General features: G+C 35.6%; 1 protein-coding gene across 14 annotated transcripts in view; it reads left to right on the top strand.

The window, feature by feature from the left end:
* Positions 1–19,029, top strand: part of RNLS (renalase, FAD dependent amine oxidase) — a 411,796-nt gene that overhangs the window by 2,355 nt on the left and 390,412 nt on the right. For all 14 annotated transcript variants that reach the window (XR_001747122.3, XM_017016382.3, XM_011539924.4 and 11 more), the window contains one exon: positions 7,903–8,061. Coding sequence is in view for 13 of the 14 variants with exons in the window: in XM_017016382.3 (XP_016871871.1) it covers positions 7,903–8,061 (159 nt within the window). In the remaining variant the exon portion in view is untranslated. The remainder of the gene's footprint in view (positions 1–7,902; positions 8,062–19,029) is intronic.

Genomic DNA, 19,029 nt, shown 5'->3' with positions numbered 1-19,029 from the left:
CACAGAAGAATAGCTATGTCAAACGATATTTGCATTTTTAACTTAGCTAGGTTGTGCTGTGTATTAATCTTAAAGAACATCTCACCAATAGTGATGAGAATGTTTCTTTCCCCACATTTGGGTATAATGGAAATTTTTAATTTTTGCCAGTGTAATAGGTTAAAAATTGGATCTCTTCGTGGTTTTAATTTGCATTTCTTTAATTACAAATGAGTTTATGCATTGTTTTTGTTTTATTAGCCAGCTCTTTGCAGTTTTCTTCTGTGAATGTCTTATTCATAACCTTTGCCCATTTTCTATTAGGATTTTCATTTGTTCCTTATATATTTTATGAGCGTTTTGAAAATGGACCTTTTAAAAAAGAAAATAGAATTTTTCTTGGATAATTGATGATTATTTTTAAAGGAGAATGAAGCTTCTTGATAAATCATAATTCAGTTAAGTACCCAAGTTGAGATAACTGAGAAAGGATATAGGCTAAGAATTTTTTTATAAGCCATTTCCAGCATAATTACTGTTTTGATCTTTATCATCAAATATTACTTATTGAGAACCCCAAGAATCCTTGACACTGGGCATCAGAGAGGTCAGTAAGATTGAATAAACAACATGAGAACATAATAAATACCATTCTGGCTTAGACCATTTCTCCATTCGAGATTCAGTATATAGATGGTATGTTAGACTACTCCAGAGAAACAGAACCAATAGGGTATGTGTGTGTATGTATGTGTGCATGCATGTGTATATGTGAGTATGGATAAAGAGAGAGATTTATTATAAGGAATTGGCTCACATGATTATGTTGGTTGGTAAGTCCCAAGATCTGCAGGGTGATCCAGCAAGGTAGACACCCAGGAAAGCTGGTGGTATACTTCTAGTCCAAAGGCTGGCAGGCTCAAGACTCAGGAAGAGCCAATGTTTCAGTTCTACTCTGAAGGCTGGAAAAAAGCTGATGAGCCAGTTCAAAGGCTTTCAGGCAGGAAGAATTCTCCTTTATGTGAAGGAGGATCAATGCGTTTGTCCTATGTAGGCCTTCAACTGATTGGATGAGGCCTACCCACATTAGGGAGGGCAATCTGCATTACTTGATCTACTGATAATAAATGTTAATCTCTTCTAAAAACGTGCTCATAGAAACACCCAGAATAGTGTTTGACCAAATATGTAGGCATCCTATGGCCAAGTCAAGTTGACACATAAAATTGACCATCACAGATGGTGACACTATTGGACGTTTTGTAGAATGTTACTATCAGCTTCATATAGTGTGGCCATATCACTTTAAAAAATCTCATTTCCACCATGATTTTCCCCTGACCCAGGTTGGATGAGTATACCTATTGAAATCATCAGGTACTTACTAACTGATATGCGTGCATGCATGCATGTGCAGGAGCTTAGAAAATGATATCCCAAAATGGAGCCCTCAGAAGTAGCTCTCTCTGACCTTCTCCTGCCCTCCTATCTCTGGCCTTGCATTCATCCCTGAGGCTAGCCCTAGAAAATAGAATCTCTTTTCCCAAGGCAGGTCGTAGAAATAAGAACCCCTTTTCCCCCCAAACCAGCCATAAAACCTAAAACTATCACTCTAGCTTTCCCCTGCCTTCCTTTGTAAAAACTGGCCATAAAGAAATTATCTGACCTACCGTGTTTGATTGTAGCTCACAACAGTTCCAGAGAGGGTCATGACCTATAACCATAAAGAAAGAATGCTGCACAGAGAGGACAAGAAGAATCTAGACAGACAGGCCTTGGTGGGTTTTACCAGTTTGTTAGCCATAGATATAACCCTTTGTCCAATCATATTGCTGCAGAGCTGTCCATACTTTGTTGAATCTAAGCATAAAAATGGACTCCTGTATCTTTGGGTCTTCAGTCTGAAGGTTTCAGTGTCATGCAAAACTATGATTAAATAAATTTGTATGCTTTTTCTCATATTAGTATGCCTTTTGTCAGTTGATTTTTACTGAAATTTCACCCCTACACATGCATATATACATACATACACATATCCTTTTGTTCAATAAACATTCATTGAATACTTACCATAATGCCAAACATTGTTCTAGGTACTAATGATACAAGAACCAATGTCCTTGCCTTCATGGAGTTGATGTCCTGGCAGAGAAACATCTTTGAATACATTGCATCTATCTCCTTATTTTGTTATGTGTTTGGGGGAATACATACGTTTTAACTTCCAATTTTGCTTTTTAAGCTTTTCAGAGAAGAGATTATTTTTAATTCCTTGTACCTCACTCAGAAACTAATAGTACCTCCTACATAGTAGGTAGAGTGATATAAATGTTAAAAATTTATTTTATATCAAGTTCATGGTCTATTTAACTTGAGTTTATATAAATTTTTCTTTGTTTATTTTAATGCTATTTAATGTTATTCTTGTAATACTTCGAGATTCTCCTCTACCCCGATCTATTATCTATAGGATTTGTTGGACCCTATCTATAATATTTTTAATTTTATAATTATATCCCTTTTAAACATTCTTTAAGTCCCTTTAACCTTTCTATTCTATAAATGGTCCACAAAAACATTTTGGTTTTTCCACACTATAAGCTAAGACAGTCCCTGAAATCAGAATGACCTGGATTCCAGTTAATGTCCTACCATCCCTTTCTGTTCATGTAATATTAGGAAAGTTTAAAATCTGTACCTCAGTTCTTTCATTGAAAAAAATGAGCGTAATGAAATGCAAAAATGAGGGTACTTACTACAGAATATTGTAATGGAAGTTCTTGCTACAAAGTGTTGTGAGGAATGAAAGATATAATGCACTCAAATTCAAGCAAGTAGTAAGCCAGTCACATAGTAATCTCTTGAAAAATGTTAGTTTAAAAAATATTGTACTTGAATGAAGCTGACCTTCATATATTCCTTACTTTAAGAAATCAAATTGCCAACTATTTTCAAAAATACTCTATATTTTGGAATCTAGTTGAGTTTAAAACCCCACAATCTGATGGACCAACCAGTGGTCATTCAGATTGGGACCAGACTCCCAGGGCAATTATTTGTCTGGGATATGCCTAATCAGGCATGCTTTAGAATAGGTTCAAACCTTTAAAGCCAATATTTAACTAGACCAATTTCCCAGAACAAATAGTAAAAGGTAAAGGAAATAGATGCTTTCTTCTTGACCTTATGTTCTATTTTAATTTATTGTCCGATGTGTTCACATTAACCTCATTGCAGAGAAAGCTGTATTTATTGGCATCAATTTCACTGACTGCCTGCCTTCTCCATTAATACAATCTTCTTGAGTGAGTGAAACATGATTTTCTTTTGTTCTTTTTTTATACTAGTTGTCATTATGCTGGGGTGAGAATTGACAATAGCAAAAGTGATTCTAGCTATCAGTTATTAAGTGCTGACTATTTATCTAATACTACCTGAGGTACTTTACGTATGTAGTTTCTAATTCTCACAGTAAATTTTCAAGGGAGTTAATCATCATCCCTATTTGTTAATGCGAAGAATGAGACTCAGGTACTTTGTCTAAGGTGGCTTGGCTAGTTGGTAACAGAACTGAAGTGCCTTTGCAATTAATCATGTTGTTTTTTTCTATTAAGTCTCTCATGGAGGGCAATGAGAGGTGCTCATACTCTCCAATTTAACATCTATTTTGTAGAGCCTTCTCTTTCCTTATTGATTATTTTCCTATAGTATGAAGATTGTACCCATCCCACCTGGTGCTACGTGTCAGTAGACACATGGTTCAATAGAACAACCTCATAGTTCCCTGTGCCCCTAGTTTCCCTCTTTCATCAGTTAATTCCTGACATAGGGGGAAGTGGATATTGAAGAGTAATACCACCTTAGTTCTTTATGCAACCTGGGAAATTGGTCACCTGATGGTTCCTGCCTATGACATGGAAAATGATGGGCCAGGTCCTTTTGCTTTTGAATAAGGTCCCATGTTACTAAATTATTCAAAAAAGATGAATTTAGCTTCCAGGACACAGAGTGAGCAGCTTTTATTTAGCTTGTCCTACCAATAGGGAGGGCTGTTGCTGCATTTATTTGTTTTTATTTTATCATCTACCTAAAAAGGACATTGGCTAGCGATCCAGAAAGTCAACATTTGCAAAGTAACCTGTCAAAATTGACAAGATCAATTTATTAGAAAAAAATGGTTTAGGTGGCAGATGCCATTAGCTAGGATGGCTTCTGTATTGTAATATTTACTTTTATTATTCTCTCTCTTTTTACTTTTGTGCCTATTTTCTTTCTAAAATTGATAGAGGGGAAGTGAGTCTGGGTGGTTCTGTCTCAAAATTTCTCCCAGCAGGTGATCCTGGCACTCATCCGTAACGATGTCCTTTTTAGAGAAGCTAGAGGATGGCATGAAAACCAGGTTAAGCATTCTTCTATTTACTTCAAGCTGTGTAGTCAGTTAGAGATGGTTCACATCACTTCAGGTCCCACCTGAGCAGTTCTGACTGCTGCTCACTAAAACCTATTTGTGGGAAATCATAGGAGAAACATAAACTTGGATTTTCTCCTTAAAATGGAGGAAGGCCAGGGATAAAATTGAATAAATATATAACAGAAACACATTTGCCTTTGTAAAATGTTTAAACCTTCTTAGACTTCTGATATCTTTATAGCTATCTGAAGATCATTTTATTCTAATTAAATATTATGTGCTGGGGAAACAAAAGTCAATAAGAGACATGATCCTGGCCTCTGTTAATGTAGAGTATAGTGGGAAGAAAAGACATTAAACTAATTATACATACAAAGAAAAGATGCATGATAAATGTTAAGAAGAAAGAGTGAGAGCATTATGAGAGAACTTACAATAAAAGGACCTAGCCCAGTAGGTTTTAGAGGAGTGATGGGGGAGATGTGTTAGGGAAAGCATCCCTGAGGAACTGATATTTTCATGGGTACCTGAAAGGTGGGCAAGAGGGAATTAGGCTGAGAGCTGAATGATGAGAGTTCAATGCAGTGGACACATCAAATTGGAACTGTTTTGAAGCAGTAGGAGGAGGTTAGTGCATTCAAGGAATAAAAGATCATTATGACTGGACGGTAGTGAGTGAGGGAGAAAATGGTAAAAGATGATGCTCAAGACTAAGGCAGGGCCAGGTTATACAGGGCTTTGTAAGCAATGTTAAAGATTTTATACTCTAAGTGCGATGGGAAGCCATTGAAGGGTTTTATGCAAGAGAGGGACATGGTCAAATTTACTAAGCTCAGACATAACTCTTGAGACTATTTATTTATCCATTTTAAAATTGGGTTTTTCAGAGCTTATAGATTTAAACACATAGTCTTTGTGAAAGTTATTAATTACTTTCACAAGGAAATGCCACTTTCCCAAAAACTTTGCTCCAAGCAGTTGGAAAGGAAGCCTTTCTGGTTAATAAGAGAGGCTATACCATTTCTCCTACCTCTTGATAAATGCTGCTTTTTGGGTGGTTTTGCCAGTGGTGTTTGATTTGGGCGTGTCCACCTACCCCAGTGGTTCTCATACTTTAGCGCGCATCATGACAAGACTAAGGGAGCTTGTTAAACATGGATTGCGAGGCTCAATTCCCAGAGTTTCTTATTCAGTATGGTCGGGTTGGGGCCCAGGAATGTGCATTTTCTAGTACATAGGTGCTGCTGGTCTGGGGTTCATACTTAGAGAACCACTGACATATATATATATACACACACACACACACATATACATATACACCTTGGTGTATATATATGTGTATATATATATATATATATACACACACATATATATATAGTATATATATATAATATGTGTGTGTGTGTGTGTGTGTATATATATATATATATATATATATATATATATATACTTTGCAGAACACCTTGTGGCCATTGGGATACATTTTCAAGGCGTTCATCTGGGGCATGAAGAATTTTCTAGGACTGTGAACTTAAGTCCCCTTAAACACACACTCATACCACCAACAATAACAGCATATTGTTCTCTTCAAAGGAATATTATGAGAAAACGTAGAATCAGTTAACTTAGCTGAGGTCTGGGACAGGGCCATGGACTAAGTGAGGCAAGTAGGGTGAGGCATCCTAAATAAATAAAAACAGAGTGAAGCAGAGCTGCCCTTGTTGGAATAAAGGAGATGGTGGATATGTGTTGAAAGTGCAAATTATTTGCACCTTCCCCAAGCAGGGGCCTTAGAAAAGCCCTCAGGCAAGATGGAGTACTGTTTACAAGCCCCTTGCTCTAATCTTTGAACAGAATGATGCACACTGTCTTGAACAGAGATTGATCTCTTGGGCTAGCTAGAACTATGTTTCTTCTAACATTTACATTTGATTTTTTAAAAACTGGAGTGCTTACTAGGGTGTAGCATTATTTAAGGGTCAATGAAAGAGATGAAAGTGTATGAGATCTGAAGACCCGACATGAAGGAGCCTTGAGTATTATTACATAGATAAGATACAACTAAAGCATGCAGATATTTTGAATCAATGTCAAAATTAGTACTAAAGGCAGTGATGGTTGAAGAATATCATAGAGAGGAAGGATCACACTGAGCTGGAGTGGCTACAGAAAGGAAGCTTTGGGATGAACTTTAGCTGGATTTTTAGTGACTAGGAACGTGAGATTTCCCAGGTAAAGATGAACAGGATCTTTCAGTGTGCTTTTTTCCTCCCTCATTCCATCTTCATTTCTTTCTTTTTCTATACACAAAGCTGAATAAAAGTAGATTTGCTTGTAAATCAAAATTTTTTGAAAACTGGAAGGTGAGTACTAGTTTACTAAGGAGACTTAATGACCCAATTGTACTTTCTTTCAGTTTATGGTTCATAATTCATTCTTTTTATTTGTTATGTTGCCTAGGCTGGAGGGTAGTGGTGCGATTTCAGCTCACTGCAACCTCTGCCTCCCGAGTTCAAGCGATTCTCGTGTCTTAGCCTGCTTAGTAGCTGGGATTGCAGGCATGCACTACCATACCCAGCTAGTTTTTGTATTTTTAGTAGAGATGGGGTTTCACCATGTTGGCCAGGCTGGTCTCAAACTCCTGACCTCAAGTGATCCACCCACTTCAGCCTCCCAAAGTGCTGGGATTACAGGTGTGAGCCACCGTGCCTGGCCTCATAATTCATTATTTTAAATAAATACTTAACTAATAAATTCTATGCTATGTATACTATATGCTATACATAGAAATAAAACAGGTATAATTTGTAGCTCATGGGCCTTACAGATTAAAAGGGAAGACAATATTAAAGAAATAATTATTAAAATATCCTTGTGTTAAGTGCTAAGAAGGAAAATGTTATGGGAGGGTACTCTAGAGTATGTTTCTAAATTCTGATTCTTCTTAATGAAGACAATTGATCTATTGATGAGAACTTGCATTTCCCTTACAGAGAACCTTTTTCAGGTCCTTTAATGGGAAATATTAATTCCTTTAATAGAGAATATTGCTCTTCTTATTTCATTGCTAACACACATGTTTACTGAAGTGTATACTTGTTCTGCAAAAATGATGAGCTTTAGAGTCAGATGGTTATAGTTTTAAATCATGGCATGCTATTTCTCAATCTATTTCCTTGTCTGTGAGATAAATTAGTATAATGTGTACCAAGCAGCTGGCATATAGTAGCTGCTTAATGAAAAGTAGCTATAGTTATTATTTTTATTTTTATCACTAATTGTAGGAGTAGTTTTTGATTCAGAGCAGGCACTGATAGGGAAGTCCAAGGATGCCAGGTAGGGATGAATTCCCACTAAATTAGAAAGAAAGTAAAGGAAGAGAGCTGGAGGACAGTAGAAGACAGTCTTGGCCATTTTGTTCACTTGAATGGATTCAGTTTGTGACTACTCACATCCCCTTTATTCATATATGCAATTCTGATAATGGGGACATGATTTTGCTTTTGGAACAGGTGCAGAAGTCTACTTCAGACATCGTGTGACACAGATCAACCTAAGAGATGACAAATGGGAAGTATCCAAACAAACAGGCTCCCCTGAGCAGTTTGATCTTATTGTTCTCACAATGCCAGTTCCTGAGATTCTGCAGCTTCAAGGTGACATCACCACCTGTGAGTCTGCTTTTGCCATTTACCTGCCTCAGGGAATGGGATTTCTTTTGACAAAGCATGAATTTGGTTTAACTCTCTTCGCAAAGGACAAGTGATAGACTCTATTGATTTGCCTGTCTTAAAAACTGATACTTACGGCCGTCGTCATGATATTAATCTAGGCCAAGGTGAAACCCATAGAATGTTTTTAAAGCTGGTTAAAAGTTGAACACTTTTCTTATTGCCCATGTCTTCAACACGTCAGTATTTTTGATGGATATGAAATGATTTTGCCTAAAGGAAGAGCAGTTTTTGTGGCCATTTTTGAGAAAAGATTTTTATGTACAAGTACTTGCTTGGATTGCCTCCTTTCCTATGTTCTTGTTCTCTGGGTTGCTCTCTAATTGTGTTTACTTCTGTCTGAGGCAATTGTCTAGCTAGCTCTTTTGTGAACGAGAGGCATGACAAGGGATGGGTGAGAGGGGATGAGTAAATTTTGCTGAAGAAGCTGAAATTATGCCAGAAGAGCCAAATTTTAATAAAGGAACTAAAAGTCAAAGAAAATTTTTATCCTTTCTAAGCCTTTGGATACTGCAGTTGGTTTAGCATTATTCACTTTACCTTAGATAGTAACCTTTGTTTAATTTCTTTTTGATATAAAACATGTGGTGGGGAAAGTATGTGCAGAGGGTTTGATTTCCTATCTTTCCCCAAAGTAGACTCTAAACTACAAATAGCCAATTTAGAAATGTCATTTACATGCTTATATCTTTCCTAGTTGACAGCAGCTATTTACTCTCAGAGGTGGGAGTAGGGGAGGTGGATAGCTAAGATTTTCTTAGGTAGATACCTAAGATTTTCTTCGTGATTCCTGAGGGTTCCTGGTGCACTGCCACCAGAAACTTGTGATAAATCCACAGACATCTTTTTCCTGCCACTTTGACTCAGCACAGATGAGATGTAACTCAGTGCAGGTGGGATGGCAGTGGTAGAATTTGCACTCTTACTGCCAGAAATGCTGGGGATAGTGGGAAGGAGAAGATAGTAAGCCAGTGGCCAAATTAGAATTTCTAGTATACATGTGAACAACAGGAGACTTTGGGTTTATTCTAAGTCAACTCTGAGATCCAGAGGTGAACAGGGAAGTAATGTCAGCAAAAGGCACATGTGAGGAGTCTGAAAGCTAAAATTCCTGTACTAAGTAGTAGGAAGGAATTCAGATATGAGAAACAAAAAGGGAATAAAGGTATTAAGTACTGGGGCAGGGAGGATACATTTCTCCAAGAAGTTGCACTTGCTCAGTTAGCTTTTGTTTCATCAGGCCAGTTTTCCTTACTGATACTACAATCCTAGCTGACGGTGTTCATTTTAATCATAGAAACTCAGAATTGAAGGGAGTCTTAGAGAGCATGTGGTCTCATCTTTTAGCCCTTGCATGAGTCCTCTTTTATTAAATCACTTTGAGTATGATTGACATATGAAAAGCTGTACATACTGTATACAGTGTGATGAATTTGGAGATAAGTATACATTCTTAAAACCATTACCACAGTCTATGCCATAAACATATCCACATCACCTCCAAAAGCTTTTTCCCCTTTATTTGTTATTTTTTTCTTTTGTAATAAGAATGCTTAACATAGGCCAGGTGTGGTAGCTCATGCCTATAATCCCAGCACTTTGGGAGGGTGAGGCAGGAGGGTTGCTTGAGCCCAGGTGTTCGAGGTCAGCCTGGGAAATATAGCAAGACCTCATCTCTACAAAAAAAAATAAAGTAGCAAAGCATAGTGGTATGTTCCTGTAATCCCAGTTACTCAAAAGGCTGAGGCGGGGAATTGCCTAAGCCTGGGAAGTCAAGGCTGCAGTAGGCCCTGACTGTGCCACTGCCCTCTAGCCTGGGTGACAGAGCAAGACCTTGTGTCAAAAAAAAAAAACAAACCAAAAAAAAAAAAAAAAAAAAGAATATACAACATATTAGATGTACTATTTTAACAATTTTTTAAGTATACAATATGATATTATTAACTATAGTTGCTAGGCTATACAGGGGATCTCCAGGATTTACTTACCTTGCATAATTGAAACCTTGAAACTTCTGACTGAAGTGCCCTGTTTTTAATTCCCCAACCCCGTGGAACAAGAATTATATAAAAAGCCCTAGCTGGCAACAATCTGGTGAGAATATGACCTTTAGAAAAGATGTGCCCCATCAGTATCATTGTGCCTCTGCCCAAGACTTAAATTTCAAGAGAGCATCCTATTGACCTGACATGGGTCTTATTCCCACCTCATGGCTAGGGAATTGCAGCATCTTGGATTATAATCCTATTGCATTGCATGTAATCAATGGGACAAAGTAACACCTCAAAATAAATATAGGTACTGCCATGAAGAGAACTTGTGTGCTGAGTAATCAAGAACAATGAGTGTTTACTGCATAGGTGTTCTTTAATATTTGCGAATTGAGTGAATGACCAACTGACCAACTGAATGAATGTGTTTCCAAAAGACCTAAGGAAAAACTTCACTGGTCCGTATTACTTCTTCACATTCTCTGTAAAATTCTCATTAATAGAATCCCATAATAGACTTTTTTCTTATTCTATTCATATTCTATTTTCATTAAATATGGATTTGTATGAAGAAAGAAAGAAAAACTCTATATTGACAATGGACCTTATTTTTTAATGCTTTTTATGTAAATCTGAATTTGGCTTGCTAATATGTTGTTTAGGATTTTTGCATTCATGTCCATGAGAGTGATTGAGCTGTAGTATTTTTTCTTGTATTAATTTCTCCAGTTGTTGGACATGGAGGTATGTAGGCCTCATAGAATTATTTGGGAAATTTTTCCTGTTTCTGTTCAGGGGAAGCATTTTAATACAAGTTTGGTGTTATTTCTTTCCTAAATGTTTAGAAGAATTCACTGGTAAAACCATTTAGGCCTAGAGTTTTCTTTGTGGTAAAATTTTAAATTACAGATTCCATTTCTTAAAGGAATCTATTCAGACTTGTTTGTTTATTCTTTTTTTGTCAAGGTGCTAGAATACTATGATATAATCTTTATTTTTTATTTTTTATTTTTTTAGCTTTTATTTTAGGTTTGGAGGTACATGTGAAGGTTTGTTACGTAGGTGAACATGTGTCAATCTTGTTCATCTGGCTAGCCAGTTGTCCCAACACCACTTATTAAATAGGGAGTCTTTTCCCCATTGCTTGTTTTGCAGTAGACCTTATTTTTTAAAATACTAGTTGTTTATGCTTAAGTTCAGATCTGAAAATTGTATTTACATATTCCTTTGACTTTCATTAACTTAATTAGTTCTATATGTTCATTTTGATTCATTTACTTTTTATCAACTTACTTATTTTCAAATAGTATGTTGCTCTGTATGAATTTCTATTTACCAGGTAAGAAGGGTGTCCTGAATCATGCCAGGAATGTGAATTGACATCCTTTTTGGTACTCCAGCTGCTGTCTCTCTCCTTCATCCAGTGTGTCTGGGAAGTCCAATCTAATATCTATATGCCCTAGAATTGAAATATTAAATCTTTGAGAGAACTTCCGATTTCTCACAACTTTGCTGTTACAAAAAAAAAAAAGTGACATCTTGGTTTTTAAATTGGAATACTTTCCTGTTAAAACCTTAAATATCTAAAACATCTGTTTCAGTTCCTTTTCAGGTCTGTGAACAATATAGCTAAAACCTGGGTTTTGCTTTCCTTAACAAAGGTTAAAACAAAAGTTTCTTAGAAAAATTGCTTGGTAATAGCTATTCCCAAGCCTGACAAAAAGAACTAGAAGGGTACACCATATTATGTTCACATCAAGGGTCTGGGTGCAGAATGTTCACCCTGTCTCTAGTGGATTTTTGTTGCCATTGTTTTGGTTTGTTTTTATGCCTGCATCTGAATCACCTGGAAGACTTGTTAAAACACAGATTACTGGGCCACAGTCTGAGTTTCTGGTTGTATCGAGGTATGCATGGACAATTTGCATTTTTTACAAGTTTCTAGGTGATGCTGAAGATTCAGTTCAAAGCCGCACTGTGAGAATTATTATTAATACCGTGCCTTAGCAAATCTACTTGTTTCTGGAACAGAGCAACGAATGTATCTTCAAAAAGTGACTCGCCTTGTAAACAAGTAATGCTACTGTGCAGCCAGGGTTGAGAACTGCTGTCATAAAGCATCAGCCTGTCCAAACAATTTGTATCTCTTTTCCTCACATTTGCACCTTTGCTTTGCGTATATTGATTATATGAACCCATGCGACATCTCATCTTGGATTACTCTTGAGTCTCTGTCTTATGCTCTTCCCTGCTTGGGACCTCTTGGCTCACCTCTTCCCTGACTTCTTCCTCAACCCCTAAGACACACCTCTTAAAACAAAACAAAACAACAACGACACACACAAAAAAATAGCTTTAAGATTATAAGTCACATACCATACAATTCACCTATCTAAAATGTACAATTCAGTGGTTTTTAGTATAATAACTGATATAGGCAACCATTATCAATGTCTGTAATTAGTAAATTTTGGAATTTTTTATCACCTCAAAAAGAAATTCTGTCCCCTTTAGCTATCACCCCCATCCCTCCATCCCCATCCCTGCCCCCAGCCCTAAGCAATCATTAATCTACTATCTGTCCCTATAGATTTCCCTATTACCTGGATTCCAGATAAAAGGTCATGATGGAGCTGGAGGCCCTCATCCTTAGCAAATTAATGCAGGAACAGAAAACAAAATATGGCATGTTCTTACTTTTTTGTGGCTCTGTTTTGTCAGTATCTGCACAGATTTCACTTATTTTCTCCTGCTTTCATCATGGCTCACTGACCCTGGCCCGTCAAGTCATTGAATTGTAGAGGGTACCTCATCTTTCCTGAAGCCCATGAGCTATAACAGAGTCTGGTCGTGGTGGACAAGGCTTCAGGGCTGTGGGATGGCAGTGGGTATTGATATGCCTGTAGCTTTTGACTTTGTTGCACAGCTAACATTGACCTTGGTTTTGATAGAGAAATGGCTTTTTATGCCACTAATAGAAAGAAAACTGGTAATAAATATGTTTTATAGATCTTAGATTTAGAACTATAGAAGAAATTGTTTTCTGAGGAAGGGTATAGCTGCTGTTAAATTTTGAAAGCATTTTTTTCCTTGAGTATCATTTCTACTATGCAGAAATAATATAGCTTATTTTCTAGTACAGTGTGTGATAATAATATAGAAGAAATTGGAATATTTATTAGATGCCTGTAGGCAAAGTGGGAGACTAATTTGAATGATCTCTTCATGAATCTACTTCTAGTTTGTTGCCAATGACATTTAAAGTAGGATAATTTATTGCCATGGAGGTTGGCAATAATTGGATTGATTTTGAGATTGTTTTAATAACATACTATAACATTTTATAAAAATACAGTGTAGCCATCAGTCAGGACATTCATTTGTGCTGTAAATTACATACTCCAATATTTAAAAACTGCATAGTTTTGTATATCAAGAGAGATCCTTTAACATTACATTTTGAAAGTATTTCTCAATATTTGTATTAGTGACATCTAAAGCAACACCGTGTCATAGACTGTCTCCTAAATGTGTTTAAGGGCTTGCTAATTAATAATTTTATTTAGCTCTTTTTACATCTTATATTTTGTGTGTGCACTTGAGCTGTGTTTGGCTGAGAAAGATAACTTAACTCACCTACTATTATTACTTTTCTTTCTGTCTTTCCTGGGTTTTTTTGTGGCAATTTTTGCTTTATGATTTTATTTGATTTGTACTAGACCCTCATTAAAATTATATCCTTTGACTTAAAAAGTTCTCTCTTTAGTTTCATTTTAATTTTATTTTGCTTTCAAATAAACTTTTATAAATGAAATGTTCTCTCTTTTATTTTCTTTTTTCTGGTGTATGCTTTTTCCTCTAAACCTTTCAGGGATATTTTACTTTAGAGCCATCTCTTTTATATTTTTTATCTTTGAGCCCAGTAATTTCATAAGTATATATCTTATTGTTACTAGTTTTGTGTTCATTTTTCATGGGCTATGTTGTCCACTTTTGCCTTGAACATTCAGCTCTTCTCTTATTTAGGTAAGTTTCCTTCTAATACTTATTGGAAGATTTATTTGTTTCATTTATTATGATCTCAGAGTATCTACAAAAGCTTAAAGTATCTCCCTCTCAAAGCTTCTGTTTTCTTTTAACTCACTTTCAACTTTGATCTTTGCATTACTTTTTTTCTAGCCTTTTCTCCATGTCATCCATGTAATTTTCAAGAGTTCCTTTTGGCCCCTTCCTTGAGGTATTGTTTCAAAGAGGTCCTGTATTCTTTTACTGTTACTGAACTAATGCCCGAGTGTTTGTTGAACTAATTTGCTTCCTGGCAAAATTTTTCTGATATGTATTTTTCATCAGCTCATTTCTTAGGTTCTGTTCTTTTCTGTTCTGTTGTCTTTCTCCTTTTCTCTGCATATGTCTCTTGTTAATCATTACTCATCTTTAAATGGGACCAATTCTGTCAATTTTGTGAAAAATAGTGTTGTGGGGCAAGACCAGACTTTTCAGTTAAGGTATGTGTTCTCAGAACACTTCCTGTGTACATTTTGTAAATATATACCCATGAAAAATAGAATGGTAGTGACCACTAATATAATAATATATTTATTAACAGAAATATTTATAAATATTTTTAACTTGGAAAGAAGATTAAAGTATGTATTTATATATTTTTTCATGAATCAGAAATAATTTGACAAACATTAACATTGGCTATTGCTCAGATATGATTTTCATTTTCTTCTTTACGATTTTTTGAATAATCATAACTTTAAAAATAAGAATAGTTTACTCTTATTATAAAAAATGATATTGGCCGGGCGCGGTGGCTTCTGCCTGTAATCCCAACACTTTGGGAGTCTGAGGTGGGCGGATCACGAGGTCAAGAGATCGAGACCATCCTGGCCAACATGATGAAACCCATCTCTACCAAAAATACAAAAATTAGCTGGGTGTGGTGGAGTGCGCCTGTAGTCCCAGCTACTCAGGAGGCTGAGGCAGGAGAATCGCTTGAACCTGGGAGGCGGAGGTTGCAGTGAGCCAAGATCACGCCACTGCACTCCAGCCTGGTGACAGAGCGAGACTCCCTCTCAAAAAAAAAAAAAAAAAAAAAGAAAGATAACGTTGACACTGTTTTAAAAAAATGTATCATGCTGAAAAGAAATAGATCTTCTTTCCTTTTTTTTTAGTGGAGGAGTATTGTGCCATATGTAGGCTCTTTATGATGAAAAAGTTTAAGAATAATTGACTTGGTATATTTGACTGAGGATGAGGGTCTTTGGATGTTATATTGAGCTGACTCAATTCAGAATTGGACCCCCATGGAAATCATTTTGTGTTTAATTCATTGTTATGAAATAATTCTCTCTGGCACTAAAGACTTAAACTAGAATGTCCCCACAAGATCCTTTAACATCTGTGGGTCAAATCAAAGGGATTAAAACATGACCTCAGTATGAAGAATTGGTTAATGTCTACCCTTCTCTCTGTGTTTTCTGGAGAAAAATCAGCTCTTATTTGATTATTAGACGTCTTAGGCTTCTGTGAAAAAGACATCCACTTACAAAGCCATATATTGCCATCTAGTGTGTGAAATATATATTGTAGTTCCCCTTAGAATCTAAACTAGAGAGGACTGTGAAAATGACAGAAACATAGAATAACACTATAACTATAATATTCACAAAACTGCATATCACAGGGAAATAAATTTAGGCCCATTAGAATTACATAACTTACCAAAAAGTGCTTGATTAATGAGTGACAGAATTAGGAATGTACTACATGTTTCACATTTGTACAGACTATGAACAGCCACGTCTGTAGCTTCCTGTGTTTTTCTTCTCATTCTCATTCTCTTTCTCTCTCTTTCTAATCATATGTAGCCTTTAGGATTAACATAAGTATCATATCTTATGTGAAAGAATTCCCTTTACATTATAGAGTGGTCTGGATTTTCTGTCATCCAACTCTCTCTATTTTGCTTCTTATGGAAGAAGCAGATGTAATTGTTTTTTCATTTGGCAATTATTTATTACATTTATTAAACTTCCTCCCAGCTGGGAGAATAGAGAAACCTCATGTATCATATTGTGACCCTCTTATGATTTACTTTCTGATTCTATAATAGTGCTACTTTCTCTATATTCTTATTACAAAGATTATATCACTTAATCCTCAAAGTAATGCTAGGCATTATTATTGTCTCAATTCTTGGTGAAACTGAGATGTGAACCTCAGTAAAATGACTCCAGAGCTTGTACTCTTAACCACTGTTATGCATAGCTCTTCCATGTGTACTTGATCTTCCTCTCTACCATGCACAGAAATTCCTCAAACCCCTGACCCTTAAACATTAGATTCAGGAATTCCTAATCTCTCCTCCTAGTTTTACTTCTAGTTATAGCACTCATCTCCACCCCCCACCCTCTGATTTTCAGGGATTCACCAGTTTAATCCACCTTAAGATCCTGCAAGAGAAAGATGCTTTACTTTCTCATGTGTGTGTGTGCATGTGTGTGTGTGTGTGTGTGTGTGTGTGTGTATTTGCAGTCATCACAACCTTTCAAAACACAATGTTGAGCTTCTCTTTCCTAGATTGGAGGATGGGGAAAGGAGTTTGTTTTCCCTAAATAATTTATCCTTGTAAATTTTTTAATTTCTAGTTGCTGTGTGATAGCAAAGATGTAATAAAAGCGGAGAAGATCTCAAGAAGGCAAACTCTAATAACCAAAGGATCACATCCATATGTGAATATATGAATAACAGAAATAAAATTTCTTTATCTAGAAATATAGAGCTTCACAGATCTACAATGCCAATAGATGCAGATATAGAACAGATATGCATATGTATGTTTAATTATAATTTAGGAGAACATGGAATTGTTTTTAAAATTCTAAAATACAACCACAAATTAAGGAAATGCTACTTTATTTCAATGTAGAAAAGTTTTCAATTAATAAGACATTATTTGACTGAATAATTTTGCTTACATTTAAAAATTATAGCACTTGTTCATCCAGTATAATAGTTTCTGAAAGTTCCAGTACATTTATAGATGCTAGGTTTTTAAATGAACTATTAAAATAAAGATCTTGGGGGTACCTTTCTAACTTTCCAGGGATACTCAATAACTGCTTTCTCAGTGGTGACCTGTATACCATCCCACTCCTTTCCTCACATAATGCTCTGGTACGCAAAACAAAGCTTCTCACATCCTCCTGTCACTCTGTTCTTTCCAACCTCTGGCTACATTCTCTGGCTTCAGCTATCTAATCATCAACTTGGACCTTAATGCTATACTTAAGATATGTGAAATTGTTCAGTGGATTTTTCAAAACTATATTACAGTATATTAAGAGTATCTTTTCAGTGCCAGTGAATATTCATGTGCATCATTATTTTTACTGTGTAGTGCTCTCGTCTTTTGATTTACCTTAATGTAGTAAACCAGTTTGATGGGCATTTAGGAGATTTACAGTATAACAAAGTGTGGCTTTAATACTGCCAATATGAAATAAAGATTCTTTTCACTAAACTCTTTTCCTATGGAAACAGTTATGTTGATGTAGAGTAGAATAAAGCCCGCTTGATTTTTGTCCTGTTTTTTCTTAGCTAATCTATTTTTTATTTCTCTGAGTGTACTTTAGAATCAGGTTTCATTAAAAACTCCTGTTGGAATATTGATTTGAATTACACTCAATTACACTGCATTAGTTTAGGAAGAATTGGCATCTTTATAATAGATCATCTTCTCATCTAAGAAAATGAAACATTTCTCCACTTATTTAGGTATTTTTAATGTCCTCAGTAAAATTTTATAGCTTTTATCATAAGATCTTACACATTACTTATTAGGCATGTTAAGAAATATTTTATAATATTTATGGAGATTGTGAATAAGATCACTTTTGTTGATTTATGGTTACTTGGTTTTAGATGTTTCCAGAGAACAATATACCTACCTGAGTTTTTAAATCCAGCATGAAAAATCTCTTTCTTTCAATAGGAGAGTTTAACCCTTTTATATTTATTGAGATAACTGCTGTGTTGTTATCTTTTCCGTTGGTATCTACTATTTATTTTTTTCTTTTGATAGATGAGTTCAACCCTTTTACATTTATTGGGGTAAGTACTATGTTGTTTTTATCCTTTTCATTGGTGCCTACTATTTACTTTTTTCTATTTTTAAATTTTTGCTGGTTTTATCAAGTATCTCTTTATTCCTTCCCACACAGTCTATTCATAGAATGCCCAACAAATTGTCATTTCATTCATGGTTCTCTTCTTATTCCTTACAAACCTATTTATTCCTGGCCCTGCCCTCCTTTCCATTCCCCAGAGCTAACTGATGTTAACAGTTCAGTGAGTGCCCTTCCACACTTTGTTCCAACCATATAAAGCTTTGGATGACTGTGCGTGCCTTCTAAAATTATTGTTTTGCACTTTGCTTATTTACTCAACATTATTTTAGATAAACATCTGATTTATTTTTATTTAACAGCTGCATAAAGTTTTTTAGTTTGGGAGTACTGGAATTTAGTCTTTCATCTCTTGTTTATCTATGGACTTTCATGTGGTTTCCAGTTTTTTTCTCTATTAAATGCTATGCCTTGAAAAACATCCTTGTTTACATATTCTTATAAACTGATGCTCTTAATGCTATATTGGGTGATAAGATCCCCAAAGTGAAATTTCTGGCTCAAAAAACCTGTATGTTATAATAAGTATTGCCATATTACCTTCCAAAAAGTTTGTCATGATTCTCACTCTTACGTTTGACAATGCCTGTTTGCCTATATACTCATCAGGACCGGATATTTTAAATTTTTATCAATCTTAACATTTCTGCCAAAGTGATAAGTAAAAACAGGTTGATTGCTCTTGCATTAATTTGCATTTCCCTTGACCAAAAGTAAAATTG

This window comes from Homo sapiens, chromosome 10, assembly GCF_000001405.40.
Source record: "Homo sapiens chromosome 10, GRCh38.p14 Primary Assembly".
Taxonomy (NCBI): Eukaryota; Metazoa; Chordata; class Mammalia; order Primates; family Hominidae; genus Homo; species Homo sapiens.
The sequence above is the reverse complement of the archived record's forward strand: the minus strand, read 5'-3'. Positions and strand labels throughout refer to the sequence as shown.